This window comes from Homo sapiens, chromosome 11 (genome assembly GCF_000001405.40).
Source record: "Homo sapiens chromosome 11, GRCh38.p14 Primary Assembly".
Taxonomy (NCBI): Eukaryota; Metazoa; Chordata; class Mammalia; order Primates; family Hominidae; genus Homo; species Homo sapiens.
In genome coordinates, this window is record NC_000011.10 from 46,070,978 (window position 1) to 46,097,555 (window position 26,578).

The 26,578-nt window shown below is 36.3% G+C and overlaps 1 protein-coding gene across 55 annotated transcripts in view; it reads right to left on the reverse strand.

The window, feature by feature from the left end:
• The window catches only part of PHF21A (PHD finger protein 21A), a 192,136-nt gene that overhangs the window by 141,659 nt on the left and 23,899 nt on the right, over positions 1-26,578 (reverse strand). For 24 of the 55 annotated variants that reach the window (NR_147890.3, NR_165446.1, XM_047427091.1 and 21 more), the window contains 4 exons: positions 21,206-21,246; positions 13,189-13,325; positions 8,157-8,189; positions 5,777-5,842 (listed from right to left, as the gene is read on the reverse strand). Coding sequence is in view for 53 of the 55 variants with exons in the window: in XM_047427091.1 (XP_047283047.1) it covers positions 5,777-5,842; positions 8,157-8,189; positions 13,189-13,242 (153 nt within the window). In the remaining 2 variants the exon portion in view is untranslated. Of the gene's footprint in view, positions 1-5,776; positions 5,864-8,156; positions 8,190-13,188; positions 13,326-19,477; positions 19,590-21,205; positions 21,247-26,578 lie in introns of all 55 variants that reach the window. The other 31 variants (NM_001441172.1, XM_047427090.1, XM_017017892.2 and 28 more) reach the window with 3 other exon arrangements.

Sequence of the window (26,578 nt, forward strand, 5' to 3'; positions counted from 1 at the left end):
TATTTGGAGATACATGGTTAAAAATTTTTTTTGATGTAGCAAAAGTTTTTTTTATACTTTTAGACTAAGTGCGGTAGATGAATTACTGTTTTCAATTTCCATATCCTCTCTGTTTTAAAATTATACATTCACACCCTTTGTCATATAACTTTGCAAGGCTTGGCCATGTGGCTTCTTTTGGCTAATGAGATGTTAACAAACCTGATGCCAGCAGAGTCTTAAAATTATTTTAGTAGTTTGGCCTGCTTCTTGTGCTCTTAGGTAAACTACAAAATGAATACGCCCCAGGTAGCTGCTGTCCCTTCATGCAAGGCCTCAGAATAAACACATTTAGAGTAGACCTAACCAAACCTGCAGCCTGAAAGGCAAGTTCAGCCAGCCCACAAACTGAAGCAGAGGTGCCTGGCCAAGTACAGCCTAGATTAGGAGAACCCCAGATGACCTACAGACCTAGTGTGAAAATAAACACTTAGGTAAAATGCCCTATAATAATATGGCACATTATTAAAGTGTAAGTTACTTCATCAAGCTTATTTTTCTTAAAGAGATAATCAAATCTTTGACCAGTTAGGTATAAGTACTGGCAGTGTTGAAAGCCACTCAATAAAACACTAGTTTCTGATGCAGAATTGTTAGGGTAATAGGTGACCAACACATCCAGTCATCACACATCTAGGAATTTCTCCTAAGACCATCAGAGAGAAACACGCATTCATATAAAAGGGTATATCTATCAAAGCAATATTGATAATAGCCAAAAAAAAAAACTGGAAACACCCTATCATCAAGAGAAGAATAGTTTTAAAAAATCATGATATAGCCAATTATGCTAATATTTAAAGCTGTTAAAAATCATGTTCTCAAAGAACACTCAAAAATCTAAGAAGATTTTCATAAGTTAGTTTAAAAAGCATAAAAAGCAAGACACACCGTTCTATAAAAAAATTACAATATAAGCAGAGCAAAAGATCGGGTGGATAAAATAATTCATTTAAAGAATATAAGTGCCTCTTCTGTGTTAATATTCTATGTTAAATATTATACTAAATATTATACTAGGAATAAAAAAGCAAATAAAACAAACACGTTCCCTGACTTCCTGAAACTAACAATCTAATAAGGAAGACAGATATTTAAAAAATAGTAATCCTACAGATACAGATATGCTACTGTAATAGAAAATGCTAATTATTCCCAGTATTTATTTCCCAATTCTTACTCAGTAATAGTCCTTGAATTTTATCTGGCCATGACTACCAGCAATAAACTACCTACATTTTCCAGACTTCCTTGCTCCTAGCAGGGGCCACATGACTAAGTTCAGGCCCATGGGATCTAACTGGAAGTGGTGCATGCAACTTCTAGTAAACATCCTTAAAAAATAAAGGGCTTGCTCTTTGTTGCTTCTCCCCCTTCTTACCAGATGGAGCAGCTATTTTGGACTATGATGTGAAAGCTGCATGCTGAGAATGGCAGAGCAACAGAATAGGAGGAACCTGGGTTCCCTGACATCGTGGAACCACTCTCAGCAGCCCTAGCCCTAGGGGGACCTATAGAACTTTTAGATGAGACAGAAATTAAGTTTTCCCTGTTTACATTACTTTCATTTTGGGTTTTCAGTCATTCACAACTGAATGTCTAAATGGAATAACTATGAAGGAAAAGTATGGTTCAATGTGAGATAATAATAGAAACAGTTGATTTTGACTAGTGGAAGGAGTGTCAGGGATAGCTCCTCTGAGGAAGTGACATTTAAGCTATGACATGAAACCTCACCAGGAGGCCACCAGGTAAAGGGAGATAGGGCAGCAAACTGTTCAGGCTGGGGAAACCGAAGCTGCAACCACGATGGCTTAACCCTGAAGCACCACAGTAACAAGCAACAAACTTCGGAATGTTAAGATTGCCTCTACAAGAAAGCAAAATGAAAGCAGAGAACTAGAGCAACTAAGTGCTTTGGCTCCATATCAGAATATCTCCATAAAAGATCACATATGCCTATCAAAAAATCAGGGTGTGGGGAGTGAGAATGAGAGTGAATCCTGTTAAATAAATTAATAGTTGCTTCCACACTTCAGCATTACATCACGCCTGTAATCCCAGCACTTTGGGAGGCCGAGGTGGGAGGATCACAAGGTCAGGAGATCTAGACCATCCTGGCTAACATGATGAAACCCGGTCTCTACTAAAAATACAAAAAATTGGCCAGGCGTGGTGGCGGGCGCCTGTAGTCCCAGCTACTTGGGAGGCTGAAGTGGGAGAATGGCGTGAACCCAGGAGGCGGAGCTTGCAGTGAGCCAAGACAGCGCCACTGCACTCCAGCCTGGGCAACAAAGCGAGACCCCGTCTCAAAAAAAAAAAAAAAAGTTGGATTCTCTGATTAGAGTGGTTCATATATTTAATACCATGAGAAGAATGTCATTAGATTTTTAAATGTGAACTATGCCTGAAACAGACAAGAGCTTGATGTTAAAAAAATTTTTTAAATCTTATTTCTTGTCTATTTCTGATCCTAAAAGCGAAACGTAATTTATTGTGGAGCATTTAGAAAATATACATAAGAGTATACAGAAAAAATAAACCACCTGTAAACTTAACCACCTTCCAATATTTTATACTGACACTGTTTTTGCATACGTTTACACGCCCACATACATATATACACAAAATAAACATAAAAATGGGACTGTAATGCACATAAAGTTGTGTATACTCTCACTTATTATTTCAGAGCACATTCCTGTATCATTAAAATACTTTCCAAAACCATGATCTTAATGGCTATATAACATATAATTTATGTAGCCAATCAAGTCAGGGATTTTCTGAGTTAAAACTGTCAGCCACAAATTGAAGCCCTGCAGGTCAAGAAGCTGACTTTGAAATCTGCCAGAGTTTCTTTCAGAAATCTCAAGTTACACTTTAAAAGCACTAGACCCTTCCAACCAAGAATTCAGTGAAATTCACTGAGTTTTAGTCATGAAGGATGCTCACTAAAGGCTGTATTTTCCCAAATGGAGCATACGATTACATAGTTTTAAGGGAGAAACTGAGTAAGTATCAAAGATTGAAGTGGCAACAGTGAATAAGAACTAGTGTCTACCGCAAGAAATAGTGACTATCTGCAATGGTTTTGTCAGATGCAAAAAAAAAAAAAGTTGTCAGATGCAACTTTTTTTAATAAAACAAAAGAAGAGAATATATGAGTCCATTATTTGTATAATTAAAGTTTTCTAATAAATATTGAAAAAAATGATTACAGAAAAATGCACAAAGAAAAAGAATAGAAGCAAATATGACAAAGGGTTAAGTGTGAAATATGACATTATTCTTCAAACTTTTCTGTATTTTAAATTTTTCTAACAAAAAATTAATGTTAACTTAAAATATCAGTCATACGGATAAGGTAATTCAGATTTTAGTTATTAAAGTGGAAGGAAAATTGGTTAGGTTCTGCCAGAGGATAAGTGGCTCTTTTGGCGGGAGGGGGGAAGGCATATAGCATTAGGAAACTGTTCTAAAATAAAACTATTTTATTTTTTTGAGATGGAGTCTTGCTCTGTCGCCCAGGCTGGAGTGCAGTGGCATGGTCTTGGCTCACTGCAACCTCCACCTCCTGGGTTCAAGCAATTCTCCTGCCTCAGCCTCCCAAGTAGCTGGGACTACTGGCATGTGCCACTACACCCGGTTAATTTTTGTATTTTTAGTAGAGACGGGGTTTTGCCACGTTGGCCAGGCTAGTCTCGAACCCCTGACCTCAGGTGATCCACCCACCTTGGCCTCCCAAAGTGCTGGGATTACAGGCGTGAGCCACCGTGCCTGGCCAATAAAACTATTCTAAACTAAAGAGTAATATCACATGTTGAAAATAAGTCTGAGGACGGATGAGCTTTTGAACTTTACAGCTGTGCTTCCTTCAAGTATTAGCCTACCTAAAAATGATATTTTTCTGTTCCATCAAGAAGGTTGTTTTAACAGTTAAGGAAATATAAAAATTGCAGGACTGGATTTCAGTTTCTAACTCTAGTTTTACTTACTTTGTATACCTAAAGTTTTCCTGATGTTAGACATTTTTTAAAATTCCAGTTTCTGAAATGCAAACTTAGTTCAGAGAACAATTAGAGCTTGCCACTTGATGAAATGTCTTAACATAGATAGTTGCAATTTTCTATTCAGTAAGGTCCCTAACAGAAAAAAGATTAAAGAATAAAAAGTTACAAATAAACCAAATCTATGTTAGTTCTCACAAACAAAAATTTCGAGTAGATGTAAATTTCCAAAAATTGTCCCACTTTCCCCAAATGTAGTCTTAAGTTATCTTAACTTTGCAACAGCATCCCCCAACCCCTACTCCACTAATCAGTTCTCACCTTCTTCCCCTGCTGGAACACGTGAATTTTTCAGCAAATGTGACTCATTCATTGGCGTCTTGTCAAACTAACCCTGAAACTATAAGGAGGCTCAGCGCTAACAGAATTCTAAAGCTAGAACACTTTCACTAACACACATCATGTTGACTTTAGAGAACTGAATCACATTCAGAGCCAAATACATACTAACCGACTCTGTTTATATTTTTTCTTACAAATTGTTCTCCACCATCCCACCTCCTCCCAATTTTAGTTTGGCAATTCCCTAATCTAAAATACCTCCTGTCTGTGGAGAAGACAAGATGGGGACGCATAAGAATAGGAGGGAAGAATATAAAGCAGTTGTTCACTCAGCTTGGAAGATGATTCTATTCTGAAACATTAATGATTCATATCTCTTCCACATAATTCTCAAAGTTTATTTCTCCCCTCAGTTAAATGAAAACACAATAGAAACACAATAAAAAATCTCCAGAAATGAATTATTCTCATTGTTATTATTTCACTAAATAACATTAAGTAACAACATAAAAATCAGTTATTGAGAACTATTTAGTCAAAAATCCTCAATAAAATGTCACTGGCATGAAATATCAACTGCAAATCACCTTATTCTTTTGATTAATATATTCACCTACTCCAAGACAGAAAACCACTCTTTCTAACCAGAGGGAGAGTGGTGGGGAAGAAACAAGAAAACAAATGCTTTGTGGGATTACCATAAACATTTACTTATAGCTCTATCAATTGCCACACTCCACCTGGTGGCAGGCACTGCCTGAATTGGTAAAGTGGAGGTCATCATACAAAAAATTCCAAAGAATATTTTCCAGGTGTCCTTGGAAAAAAGCAAGATGTTCTTCTCCTGCCCTATATAGAATAAGTCTAATAACATTTCACCGAAGTTTTTTCACGTAATAGTAGGTCAATATCTAATAGAGATTAACATAAAGGCATGACCATACTTAGAATGGGAAACCTACATTTAGAGCAATCTACTTACAAGAAGATTCTCTCCACAGTAAGTTTAATGTCAGCTCAAGGCTTTAAGACAGGTAACAAGGTACACGCAGCACCTACAAGATTCTCTATCACCTATTCTCACTAACTGCCTTTACCCCATCCCCTATAGGTAAACTATAGAGTTTAATTAACACAGTTAACGGCAGCCTGCCACATTGCTTTTAGGTATTTGCCAGTAACATATAACCATGGGATACTCTAGAGACTGATTTCAACCAAAAATAAAAATAGATAAACAGAGCTCAAACAAAATTAAAACCAAGTCTGGCTGCCCACACTTATTTTCACACATGAGGAAAAATAGCAGTTCTCTTAGAAGCCTCGAGCAGACATATCTTTAGAACACAACGTTAAAAATATGCCCCCCTCCCCTTTTCCCCTACCTGTTTCTCACTCAAAGCTGTGATTTTGGCTTGGAGTTCATGAAGCTGTTTCTTTAAGTCAGCATTCTGATTGGAAAGAAAAAATATCTGTGAGAAAGATATTTCATTTGTTAACAGAATAGTAGCAGGAAGACTATGCATACTGCATTACAAATGATGAAGCAACCCGAAGCATTTAGCCAATCAAATCTGTCATGCATTACACTGTGGCCATAATACCATCACCTAATGCACAGATCCTAAATACAGGCTCCTTGCACCAAAACAGGAGCAGCTCCTCTGCAACTGTTTTAAATTACATGAAGTTTTATATTTGAGCATCTTGTACGGTAAGAGTACCTGTCCACTAAAATATTCTTATTCTTTATAGAAAGTATCCATTGACAGAAAACCCAAAGCTCCACTAATCACACAAAAGTAGGAAAATGGAGGTTATAAGTATGCACACACTACATGCTTTACAGCATTATCAACAAAGATAAGAGGTTTTCTCCACTTGCCCTCTCCCTTATTTAGCAAAGTACATTTGTTATTTTAGCCTAGATCTGAAAAGCTGTCAGTACTGCAACTGCCTTAACACTACATCATTCAAATTAACACACTGACTACCAGGGCATTTTCTCAGTTCTAAAATTCTAGGAATCAAAAAAAGAATACTATTTTAGATGAGATACACAGAGCATGATTGCCTTTTACTAAAGTAGGCAAAAAATTCCAAAATTAAAGTTTTCAAATGCTTAATGTAGCAGGACAGCCTACTAGCAGACTGAACACCACCCTAATGAGAGACTGCTTTTACTTGATTTGTCTCACATACAATTCTTTCAATTTACCCTGCTTGGTCTTCTGTCAGGGTTAGGGAACACATCTTCCTCGTCTATTAAATTTGGTTTACTCCATGTGGACTTTTTTATTAGTGTATTTGACATAAGGCTTCTCCAATGAGATCACCCACACCTGTTGTCCAACAAGTTACTGTCCTGCCTACCTCAGATTCTTCAGGTTAAGACAATTCTGTTACATGATCACCAACTATAACAGAAATGATAGTTTCTAGTAACATTTCACAGTTGCTGATAATGTAGTTTACCACATTAAATAGGAAAGGACCTGTTAATCTAAAGTCTACCACCTCTTGGTTCCCTAAATCTAATTTATTATTTATTTATTTATTTTGAGATGCAGTCTCACTCTGTCGTCCAGGCTGGAGTGCAGTGACAAGATCTTGGCTCACTGCAACCTCTGCCTCCCAGGTTCAAGTGATTCTCCTGCCTCAGCCTCCTGAGTAGCTGGCCTTACAAGGCACCCATCACCATGCCTGGCTAATTTTTGTATCTAAATCCAATTTAAATTGTGACTATACCAAAAAAAAGAAGAAAAAAAAGGAGAAGTTTCTCACGGAAGTAGGATCATTCAAAAGGAATAAGTACGGGCTACCAATGCCAGCTCTCAGAGTCAAAACACAATAGTTAGACCTGAGTTCTCAATTTGTAGAGATAAGTGTTATTTTTTTACTTCCAAAAATCAATGTGCCTCAGTACCATTCTTCAATCAAAAACTTGATTTTACTTTACAGTGAAGCCTGTATGTACTGTTTATCAACCCAGATATAGATATAGATATAGATAAAGATATATTTGATATTTGATAAACACTCTCCATACTTATGACCTAGTATCTAATGGTTACAAAAGAGACAATGCCCAATAATAAATATAATTATCAGAAGACAAGGTAAGTTTTTAGGAAAACATCTCTTCAGAAATAGAGAATAAAATGCCTAAGTGAAAAATGCCTATGAGAATTTAAAGAAAAGTTAACATTCTCTGTTAATTTTTCTGTTAGAAAGTAACATAAGGTACTTTTTAACCCTCCTTTAAGGGTTCTTTCAAAAATAAAATTTTCTAAAATGCTTCTTTTAAAAAATACTCTAAAATTCTTACCCTGAACATGGAGAATTCAGTACTATTCAAATGTTCTATAATATAAACTCCAAGTAAATAAAAATGGTTTGGGGTCTCTTTTCATAATATTGGGATGACAGAAAGCCTCAAAAACTCTGATTTTGAATAAGTGGGTTCATGGAAATGAATTTAAGCTATATGACAAGTATTAACTCAATATTTTTCTCTAAAATACTCAAACCAATTAATATGACACCAAAATAATAGTAACAAAGATGAAATAATAGCTATATTAAAATAGAATGAATTTTTCTAAACCCTTATAACCTGAAGATCAATGTATTAAAAATAATTGCTATTAGAAATGAAATAATTCTTAAAAGTTAAGTACCATCTATATTTAAGTATTTTATGGTGATTTTATTTTAAATTATTTTTAAATTTAACAATTAAATGAATAACAATAGTAGTTTTACCTGTGGATCCTGCTTCATTTGAGCAACCAGTTTCTGGTAATAAAGAGAGAAAAAGAGCCATCAGTCTTACATATTAACTCCCTATGGCTAATCAGGTTTGGACCAAAAAATCTAGGATTTTAAGTTAACACAAAAAAAAGAGCAACACCACAATCAGAACAGACTAAAACCTTCTGTGATCCATGTAATAGGCTCAGGAGACACTTCCTTTAATAAAAAAATCAAACCACCACTTTATATTTGAAATGAAAAAGTGCCTGATTTTTAAATCTGGACAGAGACGGGTGACAGTGGCTTCCGAAAGGAATTTAAGCAAGCTGGATGCTCCAAAAGCCAAGCATCCCTTTCAAATGTTGTCAATGTCTAGAGTCCCAAACAAGGCCTGGAAAGAAGCTGGCCCCACACAAAACCGGCCTGTTCATACACAGAGCAAAGTACAGATTTGGCAGGTCTATTGGTTTGTTTCTTACCACAGAAGGAGCTTAGTGTCCCATGTGACTTTGCCACTGTCTTCTCTCAAGAAGGAGTTCGGTGCAGGGGAGGATAAGTTCAGTGGGGCAGTGATGCTCAGTTTTTGAGAACAAGGAAGTGCAGGAACAATACAAAACTCTATCTAACTCGATTCCTCTGGGAAAGAGTGCTACCCAATACTGAATGGAAAAGATCTTTACTAGGGAAAACAGAAGCCCAAACAAATGGAAAGGAAAGGAAAGGAAAGAGGAAAGGAAAGGAAAGGAAAGAGGAAAGGAAAGGAAAAGAAAGGAAAGGAAAGGAAGAAAAATGAATGTCTTTTGACCTAACCCAACTTCTAAAGACATCGCTGCCCAAAGTTAACAATAACCATAGACAGAAGAATATGAAGGATAAAGGAACATCAGAAGTCCTAAAGTATCTGGGAATAAGCTATTACCCAAGTCAATTTTTCATCTAATGGAAAAATTTGTCACTCTCTTTTGGTGACAAGGCACTTTTAAATTGTTTAGTTGTAAAATAAAACCTTTCTAAAATATACTATATATTTATCTAACTACTAGTTTTTTTTTGAGACAGGGTCTTGCTCTGTCACCTAGGCTGGAGTACAGTGGTGTGATCATGGCTCACTGCAGCCTTAACCTCCTGGGCTTAAGTTATCCTTCCACCTCAGCCTCCCGAGTGGCTAGGACCCCAGGTGCACACCAGCACACCTGGTTAATTTTTTAATTTTTTGTAGAGACAGGGTCTTGTTATGTTGCCCAGGCTGGTCTTGAACTCCTAGGCTCAAGGAATCCTCCCGCCTCAGCCTCCCAAAGTGCTGAGATTAAGGTGTGAGCCACCCGCCCTAACTTCTTAAAAAGAAGAAAAAAAATTTAAAAATCAAGCTTTTATTGATACTTAGAGGAATGATTATATTAATATACTAAACTATAAACAATAGGTTCCTTACAAAAAAGGTCCCAAACTACTATGTGTTAAAGTTCTTAAATCCACATTGTAGTTTTCCAGTCCACTCCTTAACGTCAAGTAGTCAGCCAGCACATTTTGCTACTATTCTTTTTTTGTTTTTTGTTTTTTAAAGATGGGGTCTTGTTCTGTCACCCAGGCTGGAGTGCAGTGGCACAATCATAGCTCACTGCAGCCTCCAACTCCTGGGCTTCAGCAATCTTCCCACCTTAGCCTCCTAAGTAGTTGGGACTACAGGTGCACACCACCATATCCAGCATTTTTTTTTTTTTAAGAGATGAGGTCTCACTATGTTATCCAGGCTGATCTCAAAATCCTGACCTCAAGCAATCCTCCCACCTCAGCCTCCAGAGTAGCTGAGATTACAGGCGTAAGCCACCATGCGCAGCTCTTGCTACTATTCTAACAACCCTGAAACCCAGCTCAAATTTGCTGTTTCAGACCTGCTGTGTGGTACGCTCACTGGACTAATTTTAAAAAGACGAGTGAATAGGTTGTAATAATCTAAGAAACCCTCCTTTAGTAAAATGTATAATCTTTGGTGTATCACTTCAGACATTTATTCTAATTAATCAAAAGTCTTTCTCCCTGATGCTAAGACACATTTTAGATAACTGAAGTTGCCAACCATGGGACCTCCAAATACACAAGGTATGTGTCACTATATGACTTCATACTTAATGGTAGTAGCTCTTCTATATCCTAGTCTTAACCTACAAAATAGAAACAATACATATTCCAAGAGTTTAAAGGGGACTGAAACACAAGGTTTTATACACATACATTTTTACATTAATGCTAGCCACAGTCTTCAATGAAAAAAGCTCTTGATTTTCCTTTTTGATTTGGTTACCAGAGGGTTGGCTACTACGCTGTAACGTTTTAGAAGCTGAAAAAGGTTTTCTTCCAGACACTGGAATTTAAAAATTCACTGATAACCACATGAAGTCTTCACCTCTAGAGGAAATAAATAAGCCAATTTTTCTATCTGTAAGCAGTTAAACTGCATTTCAGACAATCAGGGGTAGGACAGGACGAGCTGGCCAACTTACTGGACCATCCAAATCCCTAGTAACTTTAAGCTGACATTGTGTTAACAAAGTTAGGTTACTTTCCGCCAGAATGCGGCAATATTTCTTGAGGATATACTTCATGCCAAAGGTAAGCAAAACAACCCATAGGCCAAATCTGGCCCACCACCTGTTTTTGCAAATAAAGTTTTATGGAAAAAAGCCATACTCATTCATTTATATATTGTCCGTGGCTGTTTTCTCTGTGCAACAGCAGAGCAGAGTAGTTGTGACAGAAACCATAAATTACCCACAAAGCCAGAAATATTTTACTGTGTGTCCCTTTACAAAAAAATTTGCTAACTTCTGCTTTATACTATTCTCCATTCCATATGGAGTAAATACCCTGAAAATTTAAATGTGACTTCCATCAAATCTAAATAAGATCAAAAAAGGGAGGAGGAAAAAAGGCAATTTCCCCAAAAAGATGAGATGTCCATCACAGGACATTATTATTTAAATATTTACTGAACATCAACTATGTGTACATTGCTACTTTCATAACTATCTCACCATTCATAAAGAAAACACAAAGAACAAAAATATGTTTTCACTCCACAATACCAGATAGTTTCAGAACACATTTTCTATCCAGTAAGCTCAATTTCAGCCCTAATCTCATTCCCTAACTGGAAATGCAACAAAGCGTGGCTTTTGTCCCACTATTTCGTCAAATGTATGTTCTGGCTTTGGTCTCAGCCTAGTAACCAACACCCCTACCTTGATGTCATTTCTGGCATGCCTCAATTTGTCATGATCAACAATCGTGTAGGTGACACCATATAAATTATTTTTTCAAAAATAGTAAAGTATTACAGATATAACTGGAGTGAAATATATGCTTTCTCTGTTAAAATATTATTGACATATAAATAAATGTTTATAATCACACAAGCAAAATGTTGTATAAAGGATGAATATAAAAGCTATTAATTTTATGCTCAAAGCTGACAGTTAATATGAATAGTAAGAGAGTGTTTAGAATAACTTTAAGAACTATATCCCTTTTGAGTCAACAAATGTAAATTTAAAATTTTAATTAGATTTAAAATAGAATAATAAATATTAAGTATTTTCATAATTGTGATGTTTATAAAATTGGTATGCTTGAATTCAGAATATGAAACAAAATATTTAGTAATTAACTTCAATTAATTTAGGTCATGAGCCTTTCAAGAAAGGATTATTTGGGATTTGCTCATATCTTGTGAAGAGGAACTAAAGCAGAATGTTAACTTTGCCATCTCAATACTTCTTCAGAGGAGGAAAAACTCCAAAAATCACACACAACATCATAAAATTATCCTTGATCCACACAAATTTCAGATTGATTACTGTACTCCCAAAATTCATTCTATGATGATGTCAGCTTTGAATAAAATGTGAATTTAATTTTTATCACTTGCCATTCAGCCAAACTGGGTATTCAACACACCTCTATGTTAAACTAATTTCACTCAGAAAAAGACGAGCTTGTTTTTGTAACAAATTTCTGCTCTCCTCAATTAGTAACAGAAGCAAAGTTAAAAAAAAAAAAAAGTACACAGCTTATTACCTACTTAAAGAAGCCCACGTGCATAGGGCCAACTCTGCAGCGGAACAAGAGTTTAACGAGATCCGGAGCAGCAGCAGGGATTTCTGAACAGGTGCTTTTGAAGCTTCCTTTAAGTTCTCACCCACACTAATTCTGAGCAATGTGCAAATCTAGTAGTTACCAAAGGCCCAAGATATTCTCCCAACGATTTCAAAAGTTAATGTTACCTCAGACTACTCAGATAAACAAAGGAAACTATACCTAAGAACAAACATCTTTAGAAAGTAGTTTTACTTATCCTTCTCTCCGCTCCCATATCCCCAATTGTTACAAATTCAAAAGTAGTCAATGCATCATCCTTTATCACTTTTGAGTACCAAGGATTAGATACATGCATGTGTATGTGTGTCTTCCGCCTGATGTCCAGCTAAAGTCTAGAAAGATATAAAACAGTGGTACTCTGTTTACATAACAAATTTTAATTATGTAATTATATAAAGATAGCTTTTTGTAAAATATAAGAATTGTGAAATCTGAAATTTAAACATCTGTGAAGATAATCACATTTTCTTTAAGATTGGAATCAACGCATAAAGCTGAGTCATATGATCTGTAAAAACTTTAGTACATATGGTAGTTGAGTTAGACATGTTGTTATTTAAAACATGCAAGTTAAATCACATGAATAAAGTCCTTCAGATGAACCAAAAAGCAGAAAAAAGATTTCTTTCTTTTTTGTTAACACCTTTGGTATATGAAAAAAATCTTTTCAGTTCTTTTCTCTAGAAAGGAAGTCAGGAATACTTTAAGTTCTTAAAAGCAGTATCTATGACTTTGTCGAGTAGTGGTAAAAGGCAAACGACATGACTCTTGGACAAAATTGTCTTAAAGATTATTAAAAACTATACTAAACACCAGAGATGGACTTGTTTACTAATCTTAGCCATTACTTAACAACAGTGTGGGAGAAGCCAATAATACAACTTACCTGGTGAACCTGAATTTCCACTTTAAGAGCCTCCTGTAGAGTCTGCAACTCCATCCTCTACCTTCTCCACTTTCTCTGCTAATTCTATAGTTTCTTCAGCCTCTGTTTAAAGTAACAAACTCCTCTTCTCACTGCAGCTGTAAAGATCATAAAATGTTTTGGATCATTACATTTGGAATAAATATAATATTTATGTTAAATAAATTATGTTAGTAAAAGAATATCTGATTCTCTAACGCAGGGCAAGAAATTTCCCAAAGAGATTTTTTTTCCCTCAAAACAATTCTTCAAGTATTCCTCTAAAGAACACTTCAAATAACTAAGAAATGAAAAACCAAAAAAAGGGTTTAATCTGGTCATGGAAACATCTAAGCACCCACTACATGCTCAGCACTGTGTTAATCACTACATACTGAGGATACAGAGCTGAGTAAGACCACTTCTGTCTTCAATGAGACTATAACCATCCAGGACACACTGTCCTCAGAAAGAGACATATAACAACAGAATCATAATTTTTTTTTTTTTTTTTGAGATGGAGTCTCGCTCTGTCGCCCAGGCTGGAGTGCAGTGGTGCAATCTCAGCTCACTGCAAGCTCTGCCTCCCAGGTTCACGCCATTCTCCTGCCTCAGCCTCCAGAGTAGCTGGGACTACAGGCACCTGCCACTACGCCCGGCTCATTTTTTTATATTTTTAATAGAGACGGGGTTTCACCGTGTTAGCCAGGATGGTCTTGATCTCCTGACCTCGTGATCCACCCATCTCAGCCTCCCAAAGTGCTGGGATTACAGGCGTGAGCCACTGCGCTGAGCCAAAATCATACATTTTTAAACTTCACACAGAGTGGACTGGAGAGTTCAGGGTTTCTCGGAGGTTAACGAATGCCAGGGTAGTTTTATTTGGATGGGTTCTTACTCTACATAAAAAACAGAGAAACTCAAAATGGGGAAATTCTGGTATAACTTAAACATTTACATTTAACAAATTAATACTCAAAACAGACAAATACAATGCAATATAACTGTACTATCCACGAACTTATGATGTGGATATTTTAAAATGTATCTATCGTGTGTAATTGAGGTGGTCTAGTAATGGAACACATGTCCAGCTTTACAATGAAAATCATCTTCTTTCAAGCTTGCCAGTCATCTCTTTGACTATACATATAATGGCATGTGGAGATAATGTCAAAAGTCTAAATCTGTTAATATGACACCCAGCTTGACCTTCCTATCTCCCTCAGTCATCACTGCTCTAATTTAAATTATTTCGATGGCTAATTTATCCTTTATTGTTGTTTTCTTTTCTTGAATGTGGCCTTAGACATGATTTTAGGTACTCTGTCAAAGCAAAAGTCTGTTTTTGCCTGAATAAATTTAAATTTTACTTCAAATTTCTTTTCTTCTTTGCACCTATAAAGCTTGTAGCTAGAGCAGCTTTTTAGCATTCATATAAATTGGGGAATGGAACAATCAGGAAGTTAGAGGAACCACTACTCCTTAAACCAATACAATAAGATTCATGATCTTCATATTTCTAAATATTATTTACCTATGGGTACAGTCTATATTCAACCTAAGTTTTCTAAGAGTCCTTTGAAAACTGGTTTAACAGAGTTATAATGGAATCATTAACTAGGGAGTATATTCTTGTGAATATGAGTTTTCAATATATTTGCTTATTCTCATTAGGCATAAAACATCAGCAGAAATCTCTCTCTCAGGGCTTATATACTAGATTATATAACATCAAAATACTCAAACCTAAAAAAGAATAAATTCCAAAAGTGCAAAATTCCTTTAAATTCACATTTGCAAAGGATAGGAAAAATTTACTGTATAATGATAATGTTAAACAAAACATTTTAAAAGGCAGTATATTTAAGGGAGTTATTAACAATTTAGAAAGGGAGACATACTATGGTGAACAAATCTGGGTAGTTTTAGCTACTATCTTTTTTTTTTTTTGAGAAAGAGTCTCGCTCTGTCGCCCAGGCTGGAGTGCAGTGGCACGATCTCAGCTCACTGCAAGCTCCGCCTCCCAGGTTCATGCCATTCTCCTGCCTCAGCCTCCTGAGTAGCTGGGACTACAGGTGCCCGCCACTACACCCGGCTAATTTTTTTGTATTTTTAGTAGAGACGGGGTTTCACCGTGTTAGCCAGGATGGTCTTGATCTCCTGACCTCGTGATCCGCCCGTCCTGGCCTCCCAAAGTGCTGGGATTACAGGCATGAGCCACCGCACCCAGCCAGCTATTATCTTTTAAAATATTTGGAATGATAACCAATCAATCAATAAATATCAGAATCATTAAGTCACTAAGACCAAGATTTTTGTTATCATGTAAGCTTACTCTACCTGCAATACTAAAGTTAAAACTACACAGCCACTTTAATTTTAAATAACAAAATAATCTCCCTACTCAAATTCCTGATTATGTATTACAGTTCTTCTTGAAAACAACACTTGGTTTTAATTTTTACAAGGCTCTACCAGAAAATGTGTCCAAAATGATTCCTTATAATTTTTGTCAAGAATCACTTTGAAGTTGAAGGTGTATTTTTCAAATATTCGTACTTCATTCTACTGACAGTAACATAAAACCATAGTTCAATTCAATTCACATAAACTCTGGAAATGAACGGCAGGTTAAAACACAAAGAACTTAACATTATACATAACAAAGGGCTAATACAGTTTATATATTTAGGGCCCTCAAAAATTGATAACAAAAATCTATGAAAAAACAATTTACAGAAGAAATAAGAATGACCAACAAACATGAAAAACTTCCATCTTTTAAGACACAGAAATATAACTAAGATTATATGCTTTGTCTATCAAACTGAAGACCTATAAGATAATAATACTCTGAGCTGTCTAGAATTTGTGTCAGGTGCCACTTCGCAATTTGCTGATGGTTATCTCTAGGTAGTAGCACTGTCAGTTATTTACTTTCTTCTTTTTGGGGTATTGATATTTTCAAAATTTTCCATAAAAAATATGCACATCTTTTTAAACAAGAAGACATTAACCAAGGATTTGTAGATAAAGCATCAGAAAACATTATACTATCAAACAAAATGCTCAGGAAAAGAAAAAGTTAAAACCAGGGTTTAACTTGAAGACTGTAAATGTCAAAGAGTGCCTCGCACAATAATAAGCCTGCAACTCAAGTTAATGAGGAGCCGATGGCTTTTACTTTCTCCATCAGATTGTTGTCTGCTTCTCAGAGATACACAAAGGCATGAAGTTTTATTCAGCAAGGACTCTAAATGCCAATTACTCATTTTATTTCAAAATAAAACTAAAAGGGTTAAAAAAGTTAGGACTAGTTGTAGAAAAACATATGAAGGATTAGAAGATTCATTTGAAATTCTTTTTCTTTTCTTCAGAAAGATCTCTTTCTGGATAGTAATTTTAAGAGACTGGTCTGTGCGGAAAGAAACAAATTACAGACATGTATTTATAGTTTACAAAAACAAGGCAGGTACATGTTGAATCTTGTTTGTTTAATTTTATTTTTTCTTGTAGAGAAGGGGTCTCATATGTTGCCCAGGCTGGTCACGAATACATGCTGAATATTTTGAAAAAATTTTTTTCCTGAGATAGGGTCTTACTGTGTCACCCAGGCTAAAGTGCAGTGGTGCGATCACGGCTCACTGCAGCCTCAACTTGCTGGGCTCAAGTGATCCTCCTGCCTTAGCATCTTGAGTAGCTGTGACTACAGGTGTGCCCCACCATACCTGGCTAATTTTTGTATTTTTTTGTAGTGACAGGGTTTCGCCATGTTGCCTAGGCTGGTCTTGAGCTCCTGGGCTAAAGTGACCCATCCACCTTCAGCCTCCCAAAGTGTGGGATTACAGGTGTGAGCCACTGCACCCAGCTGAAAAAATATTTTGAGGTCTTGGACATCTCATGCAGTCATCTGAATACCACTGGGAGGCAGTTTATAGCATCAAAAGAATTATTGGCTACATTTGTAAAAGATGATTTAACATATTTTGACCAATTCTAACAAGTTATAAATAACAAATCAGTTGCTGCAAAGTGAATACCATCAGACTCACAAGACAGTAACACACTGCATTCCACCATAATGAGTGACTCTCACCATCCAACAGCTCTACAAGTCACTATCAGCAAGGCCACTTGCCTAGCCCAAAATATTAGCATTTGCAATCTTCCAAACGGTACATGTCAAACCATTCTGATATCTAATGGCCTCTAACTTTCCAATAACAACAACAACAACAACAACAACAACAAAACATAAAAACCAAACACACAAACCAAACACACAAAAACAATAATAAAATCCCACTAAAAAGGTCAGCCATGGTATCTGGAAAGCACATTCACCATCCCAAAAAACAAAAAATGCTAATTCTACTTACTCACTGTGTGACTACTCTCATCCCCAGGGTTCATTTGTTTGTTTGCTTGTAAATCAGGAAAATGGAAACAATATCACCTACTTCATAAGACTGTTGTGGTTTAAATAAGGCAAAATTATATGAAAAGCCCTTTGCAAACTGTAAAGTTTTATGATAGTTTTAATACACTTAATTCTTTTCTCTATACAGACTTTTTAATAGAACTTCTCTACATAGTATATATCTAGAAGACTGTAGGCTTTTCTGTTCTCAAATTCTCTAAGGAGGTTCTTCTAACTATTTCTCTGGGTATACTTCTGCTTGAAGATATGTGACCTGCAGGTCTTTCATTACGATTCTAATAACTCGAAGGAAAGCTATAACTCCAATTTTACTGCTAAGAAATATTTTGCTGTTACTGAGTTGACAGAAACCTTTTTCCAATCAAAACTTGACTCATCAACCAACATTTCTTTAACTAACGATAAGTCCATGACACAGTGTGCCCCAAACTGTCCCTAAAAAGGACAACTCCATGTTCTCTATACCATGCATTTATTTGGTGTGAAACTCCTCTGCTTTTTATCTATATTCTCAGACACAATGTTTAAAGTAGGTTTAATTCATTTTTTTAAATAGGAAAAAGTAGGTCTTGACAGTCATCTACGTATCTTTACTTCTTGTACCATGCTTAATATTTGAATATCAGGTTTCAATTTGTACAAAATACTTCCTACTATGTATCTAATATGTAGGTAGATAAAATAATATCTTTATTAGCAGTAGTGCTAAAATTACCATGAATGCAAAAAATAATAAAATTCTTTTAATACTATTTATTAAAAACTTTAACATTTATTAACATGAATCAATACAAATGACAACATTAAAAAACATAATGTAATGTCTATTTTCTTATCATTTAGCAAATTTTCAACACATCTTGATTTATTTTCATCACAGTGTTTCTTTTATGACACTCCACAGGTGAACAGAAAATACTACTGCACAAAGAGCTTGGCAACCCTGATTTTCGAGGCGAACCCTCTGAATGTGGTAAGGCTGCTATGTTAAAATTCTGGTGTGACAGCTATTGACCTCCTTAGCTAGTTGGATGTTTCTATACTATTAAATTATATTTAATAATGTTGTTTCCTATGAAATAAAAAAATATGCATACATATCATTACATTTATGATATCTAAATGTCTGAATGTATGTGAGTATAAAATATCTTTCTAATCTCTATTTGTTTTGGAGGGGGTGGGGGGCGGGTCCTCATTTTTTAAAAAAGGAATCTCTACACAGGTCATACCTCCACTGCAACGTGCAGGCTATTATGGTGCCTTGGGCCAGGCCAGGGTTCCCCATAGCACCCTCCTTCACAAGTCTGTGTAGTGTCCTGGACCCCTCCCTACCATCATCAGTGCTCAGCCCAATATACAGTTTCTACCTCTGCTTCCTGGGGTCCAGGCTGTCTGAATATACACATTCTTCTATTTCCTAACTTTCTTTACAAAAATCAGGCACGTCTACTAGATTATCCCAACCACATCCAACAAAAGGAAAACTGAGTAAATTTTAAAATACACAGAAATTGAAAATGGAGGAGGTTGGGGAGTAAGGTATGAGAGCATAGTGACAATGAGGCCAAGGTTTTAGAACTAGTTGTCACATTTACCAGAATGTTATTAATATTTAATGACTATTTAAAAAAAAACTGTCCAGACAAGCCTGGCCAGAATCTTACAAATATATACCACACAAAGGATAATGCAAGTGGGTGTGGTAGTCTCAGCATAACCAATAAATACTTAATAGAAGTGGAAGTTATGGGAGATAGATTTCAGATCAATATAAGGAAAAGGAAGAACTAAGGATAAGAGTCGTACAAAAAAGGAATGGGTTACCTTATGAGGTAGTGGGCTCCCTGTCATTAGAAGTATTCAAGAATGCTGCATATCATATCCCCCTCTTGGAGATTCACAATGCACATTAGCATATTAAAGGTTCTGAGAAGTCCTGCAGTAAAGAAACCTGTTTAACTTTGTTTAATGCAGCATTTCCCAAATTACTTGACCACAGAAGCCTTTTCCCACCCCCACCCCACCTCAATAATACTTATTTTTTGTGGAAGTAGAATTCCTCAGAATACATTATAGAAAATGAGCTACATTTTTTTTAAATGTGGTATTCAATATGTACCTGAATAACAACCTGTCAGGGATCTAGAAGAAACTGCCACACAAGGTAAAATACTGGAGGAGAAGGCCCTTAACCCATTTATACCTAGTGTTCCATTATTGGAACACTAAGCTTGTGGGAGTTATTTATATCCTACTGCTCAAGTTCATTGCCAAAGTCTGATTTTTCACAAAAAAAATTTGCAACCTCTGGTATAAATGGGTTAAGGTCGCTTCTCTAAGATTCCATCCCATGTCAAAGTAAAGAGCTATAGGATCTTGATTATTTATTTTAAAAGGTTTAATGAGAGAAAGGCAAGTAGAATAAAAAGGTAGTAAATGCAAGGATTAACTAGTTCAAGTGCCTCCATTAAACATGTTCAAATCCCAGTCCCCAAAAGGAAGAGAGACACCACAAGCACCATAAACTATCAAAAGGAAACCTTGGCCAAATATCTACTATATCTACTCCACCCACCAAGTTAATTACTATTTGAGAGAGGATTTAAAAATTTTTTTAAAAAGGAGTAGTCTTGCACTAGGCGACTACCCTATTCCAGCTATCTTATTTGAGTGTAATTTTTTTCATAATACACACTCTCCTAATAAAGTTAATATTTGTTTGATGGCTAGTCACTAGATTGCCCTGTGCATTCAAAGAAATGTTTAAGAATGATGAAGAGCCATTAAAAAAACCTCTCAAAGTAGATATTAGGAAAAAATGTTTGCCTGTATGCCCCACAATTACATTTCTCTCTCTTTTTCTCTCTTTTTCCTTTTGAAGAATTATATAAAACAACACATGCTAAAAATGTACTATCAGACATGAAGCTAACTAATCCAATATTAATTTTAAGAATGTAAATAAACACGAGTCCCAAATTTCAAAGTCAAGTTTCCACAGTTAAATTAACCTAAGCCACTCTGCACATATACTAAGGCCATCAAATAGAACAGCATATTAAGTAACACAAAACACTATAGGAATCTTAATCTTTTTTTAAGAGATGAGGGTCTCGTTTTGTTGCCAGCTTCAAGCTGGATGACTTGAATTGGCTCAAGCCATCCTCCTGCCTCAGCTTCCTAAGTAACTGGAGCTATAGGCACACACCCACTGGGCCTGGCTGGGAATCTGAACTTTTGAATTTCTTGACGTTTGAATTCTCAACCAGAACCATTGCATTAAGGACATTTTTGGAAAACGGGACTTTTACATTTTAACAGGTTATCGAACGGTGGAACATGCAGGCCTAGCTGTATTAGCAGAAACACAAATGCGTTTGAAGTATAGCTACGTGAAATTAGACAATTCATTTCCACTTAGTGCAAATAGCAAAGCCCCATTTCTGAGAGAGAGCCTATTTGCCAAAAAAAAAAAAAAATCACAATATTTGAATAACTATCCAGCTAGCATCAGGATCAGGCACACGATGTCTACCTAGTCAAAGTACTTACCAATTTTGGGGAAACTGGCTCTCCTTCAGCTCTCTAGCCCCCTATAACAGAAGAACGGGAAAATGGAATTAGACAACACACACATATTTATGACATGTCATTAAAAGCTGAAGACTCAAAGATTACTGATTTTAAGAAGAAAAAACAAAACACACACAAGTTTCCAAAGTTTTAAAACCCAAAAGAAAAAAAGAAGCAATAGGTAATTTTTACAGCAAAGAAAAGAACTCAAGAGCAGTTAAATTGCTACTTTTCCATAGTTTTTCAAGACAAGCAAAAGTAAGTAGTTGATAATTTTCCTTTCCTAAGAGACACATAGAAATGAAATGCACCTCATTTAAATAACATACAACTACTCCTTCATCCCCAACAAGTGACCTCTACTGTCAGTTGTTTTACATTAACAAATTAAGGTAACATCACTAGTTCTTAGTTTGGTCCTCATAAAAGGCATTTTTTTCAATTAATCTTGAAATGTATTTGCCTTATATAAGGCTTTAAAATCACAGCATTTTATAATAATGTATAGTCAGAATTTTAATTAAACTTTTTTTCACATTCTTAGATGTGTCTCACCTTTTTTTTTTTTTTTTGAAACAATGTCTTACTCTGTTGTCCAGGCTCAAGTGCAGTGGCACAATCACAGCTCACTGCAGCCTCAACCTCCCAGGCTCAAGCAATCCTCCCACCTCAGCCTCCTGAATAGCTAGGACTTCAAGTGTGCCACCATGCCTGGCTATTACTTTATTTTTTTGTAGAGTCAGGCCTCACTGTGTTGCCCAAGCTGGTATCAAACCCCTGGGCTCAAGCAATCCTCCCTGCCTCAACCTCCCAAAGTGCTGGGATTACAGGTGTGAGCCACTGTGCCTGGCCACATCTTACCACTTTAGATTGTAAACCACATACACAAAAGCTATTTGTTTCTATGCCACATATCTAATCAGTGATGAAGCCAGAAAGAAAATTTAGGTTTTGGGATCCCAATCCAATATTAGGAAACAAAAATTAAAACTTTTCCCTTAATATTTTAGTATTAAATTATTTAAACTCCACTATATGCTATGCTCTAAAACTACATGTCTTCCTTTTGCCTTAAATATGGTGTTTGTTGACTGATATTACTCCAATAGTGTCTCATTGCCTCAGGGAATATTTCAAAAGAGCTTCATGTCTCCCAGATTGTAAATCTTTGTTTAACCATGTACAGTTATACCAAACATACGATAAAATTATTTAAAAGGGCCCCAGTTCATGCAGTTAGCACTCATTTCCAAAGAAAGTCAATGTGCTATTCTATTCTGCCTTTTCTTTAGCAGCTGTCCTTTTTAAAGTTCTCAGGCCCATGCAAATAACAATTTTAATCACCAAGGTTAGGATGACTCTCAACCAAAAGAGAAATCATGCAACAATCTGTAGAACAATGCAGTTATTAAAAAGTGGATTCTTAACACTACTGATATCTACAGGACTCTGTGCCACTCAAAAGGTTGCCTCAAACAGTACCAGGCACATAGTAAATGCTCAATAAATGTTTGTTAAGTCAATGAATTGACTAAACAGACACTTAAGCTGTCTGTTGAGGGCTTATCTTCCCTATTAGGGCTTTCATGTTAGCTCTTTTAGGCTGGGGATAATTTCTTATGCATCGATTTCCAGCAGCATTATTTGTTAAATGAATGACTTTCTGGAACTGTTTTCATCCAAGTTGTTGATTAGGAAGTAAAATATTACCATTTTAAAATATAGTAAAAAGGAAAAGACTGATAAATTGGACAAAATTAAAATTAAGAACTTCTGCTCATCAAAAAAACACCATTAAGAAAGTGAAAAGGTAAACCACAGAATCGGAGGTGATAATTATATTACGTATAATCAACACAGGCTTATACCCACAATATATAAAATATGTTGAAATTCAAAGTGATGAGGATGGGACTGGGATTTTAACTTATACAGCATTTGAGAAAGTATTAATAAATGCTGCTGAAAAGTCATATTCAACAAAAGGCAGCACAATGTACATATATCTTATCTCCAAGGCATTTTCTCCAAAAATGAGGAGCAGGGCCAATCCTGAACTGATAAAGAATTTTGCCATGATATCCTGAAATCATGATGTCATGAAACTGCTCATAAGACTATTTGTAGGGACTGCAGAAATCGCATAGAAAATCAAACCCGGAAAAGTTAAGTGATTTCCCCAAAGGTCACTCAGCTAGCTGATAGTGAAGCTGGAGAAGAGCTTATGGGCCCGAGATTCCTTGGCTGAGTTCATTTTCCACTAGACCTCACTTTCTCTTAACCCGCTGCAGGAGTTACTCTTCTAAAAAACAAACTACAATAAACACTAGCGAAATATTTTTGGAAAAGTCTGCACATAAAGTTTTAAAGAAAAATCACATAAGCCATCTTAAAACATGAAATCCTGGCCGTGCACAGTGGCTCATGCCTGCACTCTGGGAGGCCAAAGTGGGTGGATCACGAGATCAGGAGATCGAGACCGTCCTGGCCAACATGGTGAATAATAATTATTTCGTAGAAGTCTCTACTAAAAATACAAAAAAAAAATTAGCTGGGTATGGTGGTGTGCACCTGTAATCTCAGCTACTCGGGAGGCTGTGACAGGAGAATCACTTGAACCCGGGAGGCAGAGACTGCAGTGAACTGAGATCGCGCCACTACACTCCAGCCTGGCGACAGAGTGAGTCTCCGTCCCAAAAAAAGACAAATCATGAAATCCTTTAAACCTAAGGGATCCCCATGAATGGGCTTCAGAGGGGTCTGTCAACTGCTTCCTACTATATGCTAAATTCTATACATATCAGCATAGGTACACCTTTCTTGGAAGAGGGTCCACGGCTTTAATTGGTTTCACAATGAGGTTCACATACCCAAAAAGAGGAAATTATTTTTAGACTAATGATTCTTAAACACTGTGCACATCAGAAATCCCAAAGTGTTTCTTCTGAAGATTGAATATTAATTGACTACCATTTGGAAATTGTCAAAAAAAAAGCAAATATTCTATTTCTATAATTTAAGAAAACTGAGCAGCAAAAAGCAAGATCTATACACACGTTTGTGCTTTTTACACTATCCATATGTAAAACATATTTAAGTCTGAAATGCAAGTTTGATTTCTTCATGTTAAGCTGGTTAAAAGCCACTTAGTTTGTTTCTCACATACATTTCACACTTCTAACTAAGGTACTTCAAAATTTTAACCATATTTGCTTAAATTTTTAAAAGATAGATTTGTTCTTGAAAAATATATCCAAAACACCTAAGTTAGAGTAAATGAAATTATTTTTGCTTTTAGAGGTGTTATACTATCTTGCTAATATAATGTCATACAATTTTTTGCAAACGGAAGATTGTTCACCTCTCCAGAACTTCACAGGTAACTGCTCTAATTAGAGCTGGTAAAGAAACAAATCATCCAGATTTCTAATATGGTTATAATATTTTAAATATTATAAATAAATCTAAAGCAATTAATAATTATTTAAATACCTTTTGTAAAATATCTGAAACCCTTGCGATATGAAGAATCTGTATTAAACAAAACTTGCAGAGAAAAAGTTTAATACTAGATCATGTTTTAAATTAGGCTAAAATTTAATTCACCCTACTACAAATTTCAAATGATTAAGTTTATAGCCTGTGCTCAATCATAAATTTTGATAAGGGACTAGAATAGCACAGATAATTGTCATTCAAAGACACTTTAAAATGTCACCTTACCCAGAAGATTCAATCTCTTCTCTTCCCCTTACTATACCAAGCTGATAGAGGCCCCCAAACTGAGTTTTATACACCACTGGCTTTACTGCTTTTTATCTACCCTTCCTAACTTCCAACAGAAAGCAAGTAAGTTTGAAATAAATTTAAATGCAGATAAGTGGTTAGAAGAAAAAGCAGAATCCCGCTTGATAGGCTTAGTCCTTGGGGCCCCAACATCTTAATAACCATCCCTCTTGTACCCACCTCTCTTACCCTCTCCTGGACATTCCTCTAGCTCTTTTCCTTTTACTCTCATGGAGCATCAATTTTCCCCTCATCATTACTGGATCATTTTGTTCCTTCTATCTTAAAAAATAATAATTAAAAAAAAAAACCCTCTTGACTCCATATCCTTCTCTAGTTATTGTCCCCGTCTAGGCTCACGTTTATAGCAAAACTCCCTGAAAGAGGTAACCATACTCCCTCTAATTCCTCTCCTCCCAATCTCTATTGAACACAACCCATTAGGGCCTTTGCCTCCCTCCATTCTTGTGAAGATCACCAATGATTTAACAGTTGTTAAATCCAACAGAAAATAGTCTTCACTTCCTTGACCAGTATCTTTTGACCCACTGCTCATTTCTTCCTCCTCAAAATTTTTTTTCTCTTGACTTCCAGGAGACCATCCTCTCTTGATTTTCTTTCCCAACTCTCTGGCTACTCTCTTTGGTTTCTTTTGCTGGTTCCTCCTTGCCTCCAACACCTTAAAATGTGGAACTGTCCCAGGACTCAGTTCTTGGAACTCTTCCCCTTAGGTGATCTCACACAGTCTCATGGCTATAGAAGGATCTACACACTGGCAATTCCCAATGTTTATCTCTAGCACATATCCTTCCCCTGAATTCCAAACTCATATACCCAACTGCCCACTCAACACTGGTCAAATAGGTATCTCAAGCTCAACACATCCAAAACTAAACTCCTGACTACCTCTCCCCTAACTTCCTCCTCAGAGTCATTCCCATCTCAGTAAATGGTAACTCCACCCCCTCAGAAGAAAAAATCCTAAAAGTCATCTTAAGACTCTTCTTTTACCACACTCCACATCTACTCCGACAGCCAACCATGTGCCTCTACCTTCAAAATATATCCACCATGACCCCCTTGCCTCAACTCTCCTACCACCTCCCTGGTCCAAGTCACCTTCACCTTTCACCTAGATAATTGCAACAGCCTCCTAACTGGCCTCCCCAATTCTACCCTAGCCCCGCTAAGGTATATTCTCTCGCAAGCCAGAGTAAGCTTTTCAAAATCCAAGACAGATCTTGTTACTCCTCTGCTCAAAACCCTCCAGTGGCTTCCCATCATACTCCGAGAAAAGATGAAGTTCCTTTCAATGGCCCACAGGCACTGAGTGATTTGGGCCTCTGCCACTCGAAGCCGTCCCATCTCCCTATCGCTCAATCCTTTCCAGCAACACTGGCCTCTTTTCCGTACTTCAGACCCTCCAGGCAAGTTCCCTTCTTGGGGCTCTGGAACACTCTTTTCCTCCAAATATCTTCATGGCTCACTCCCTCAAATTATTGAGGAAATCTACAGCAGTTTCAGGAGCAAAAGAATACTAAAATAAAGACTAAAACTATAATCAGA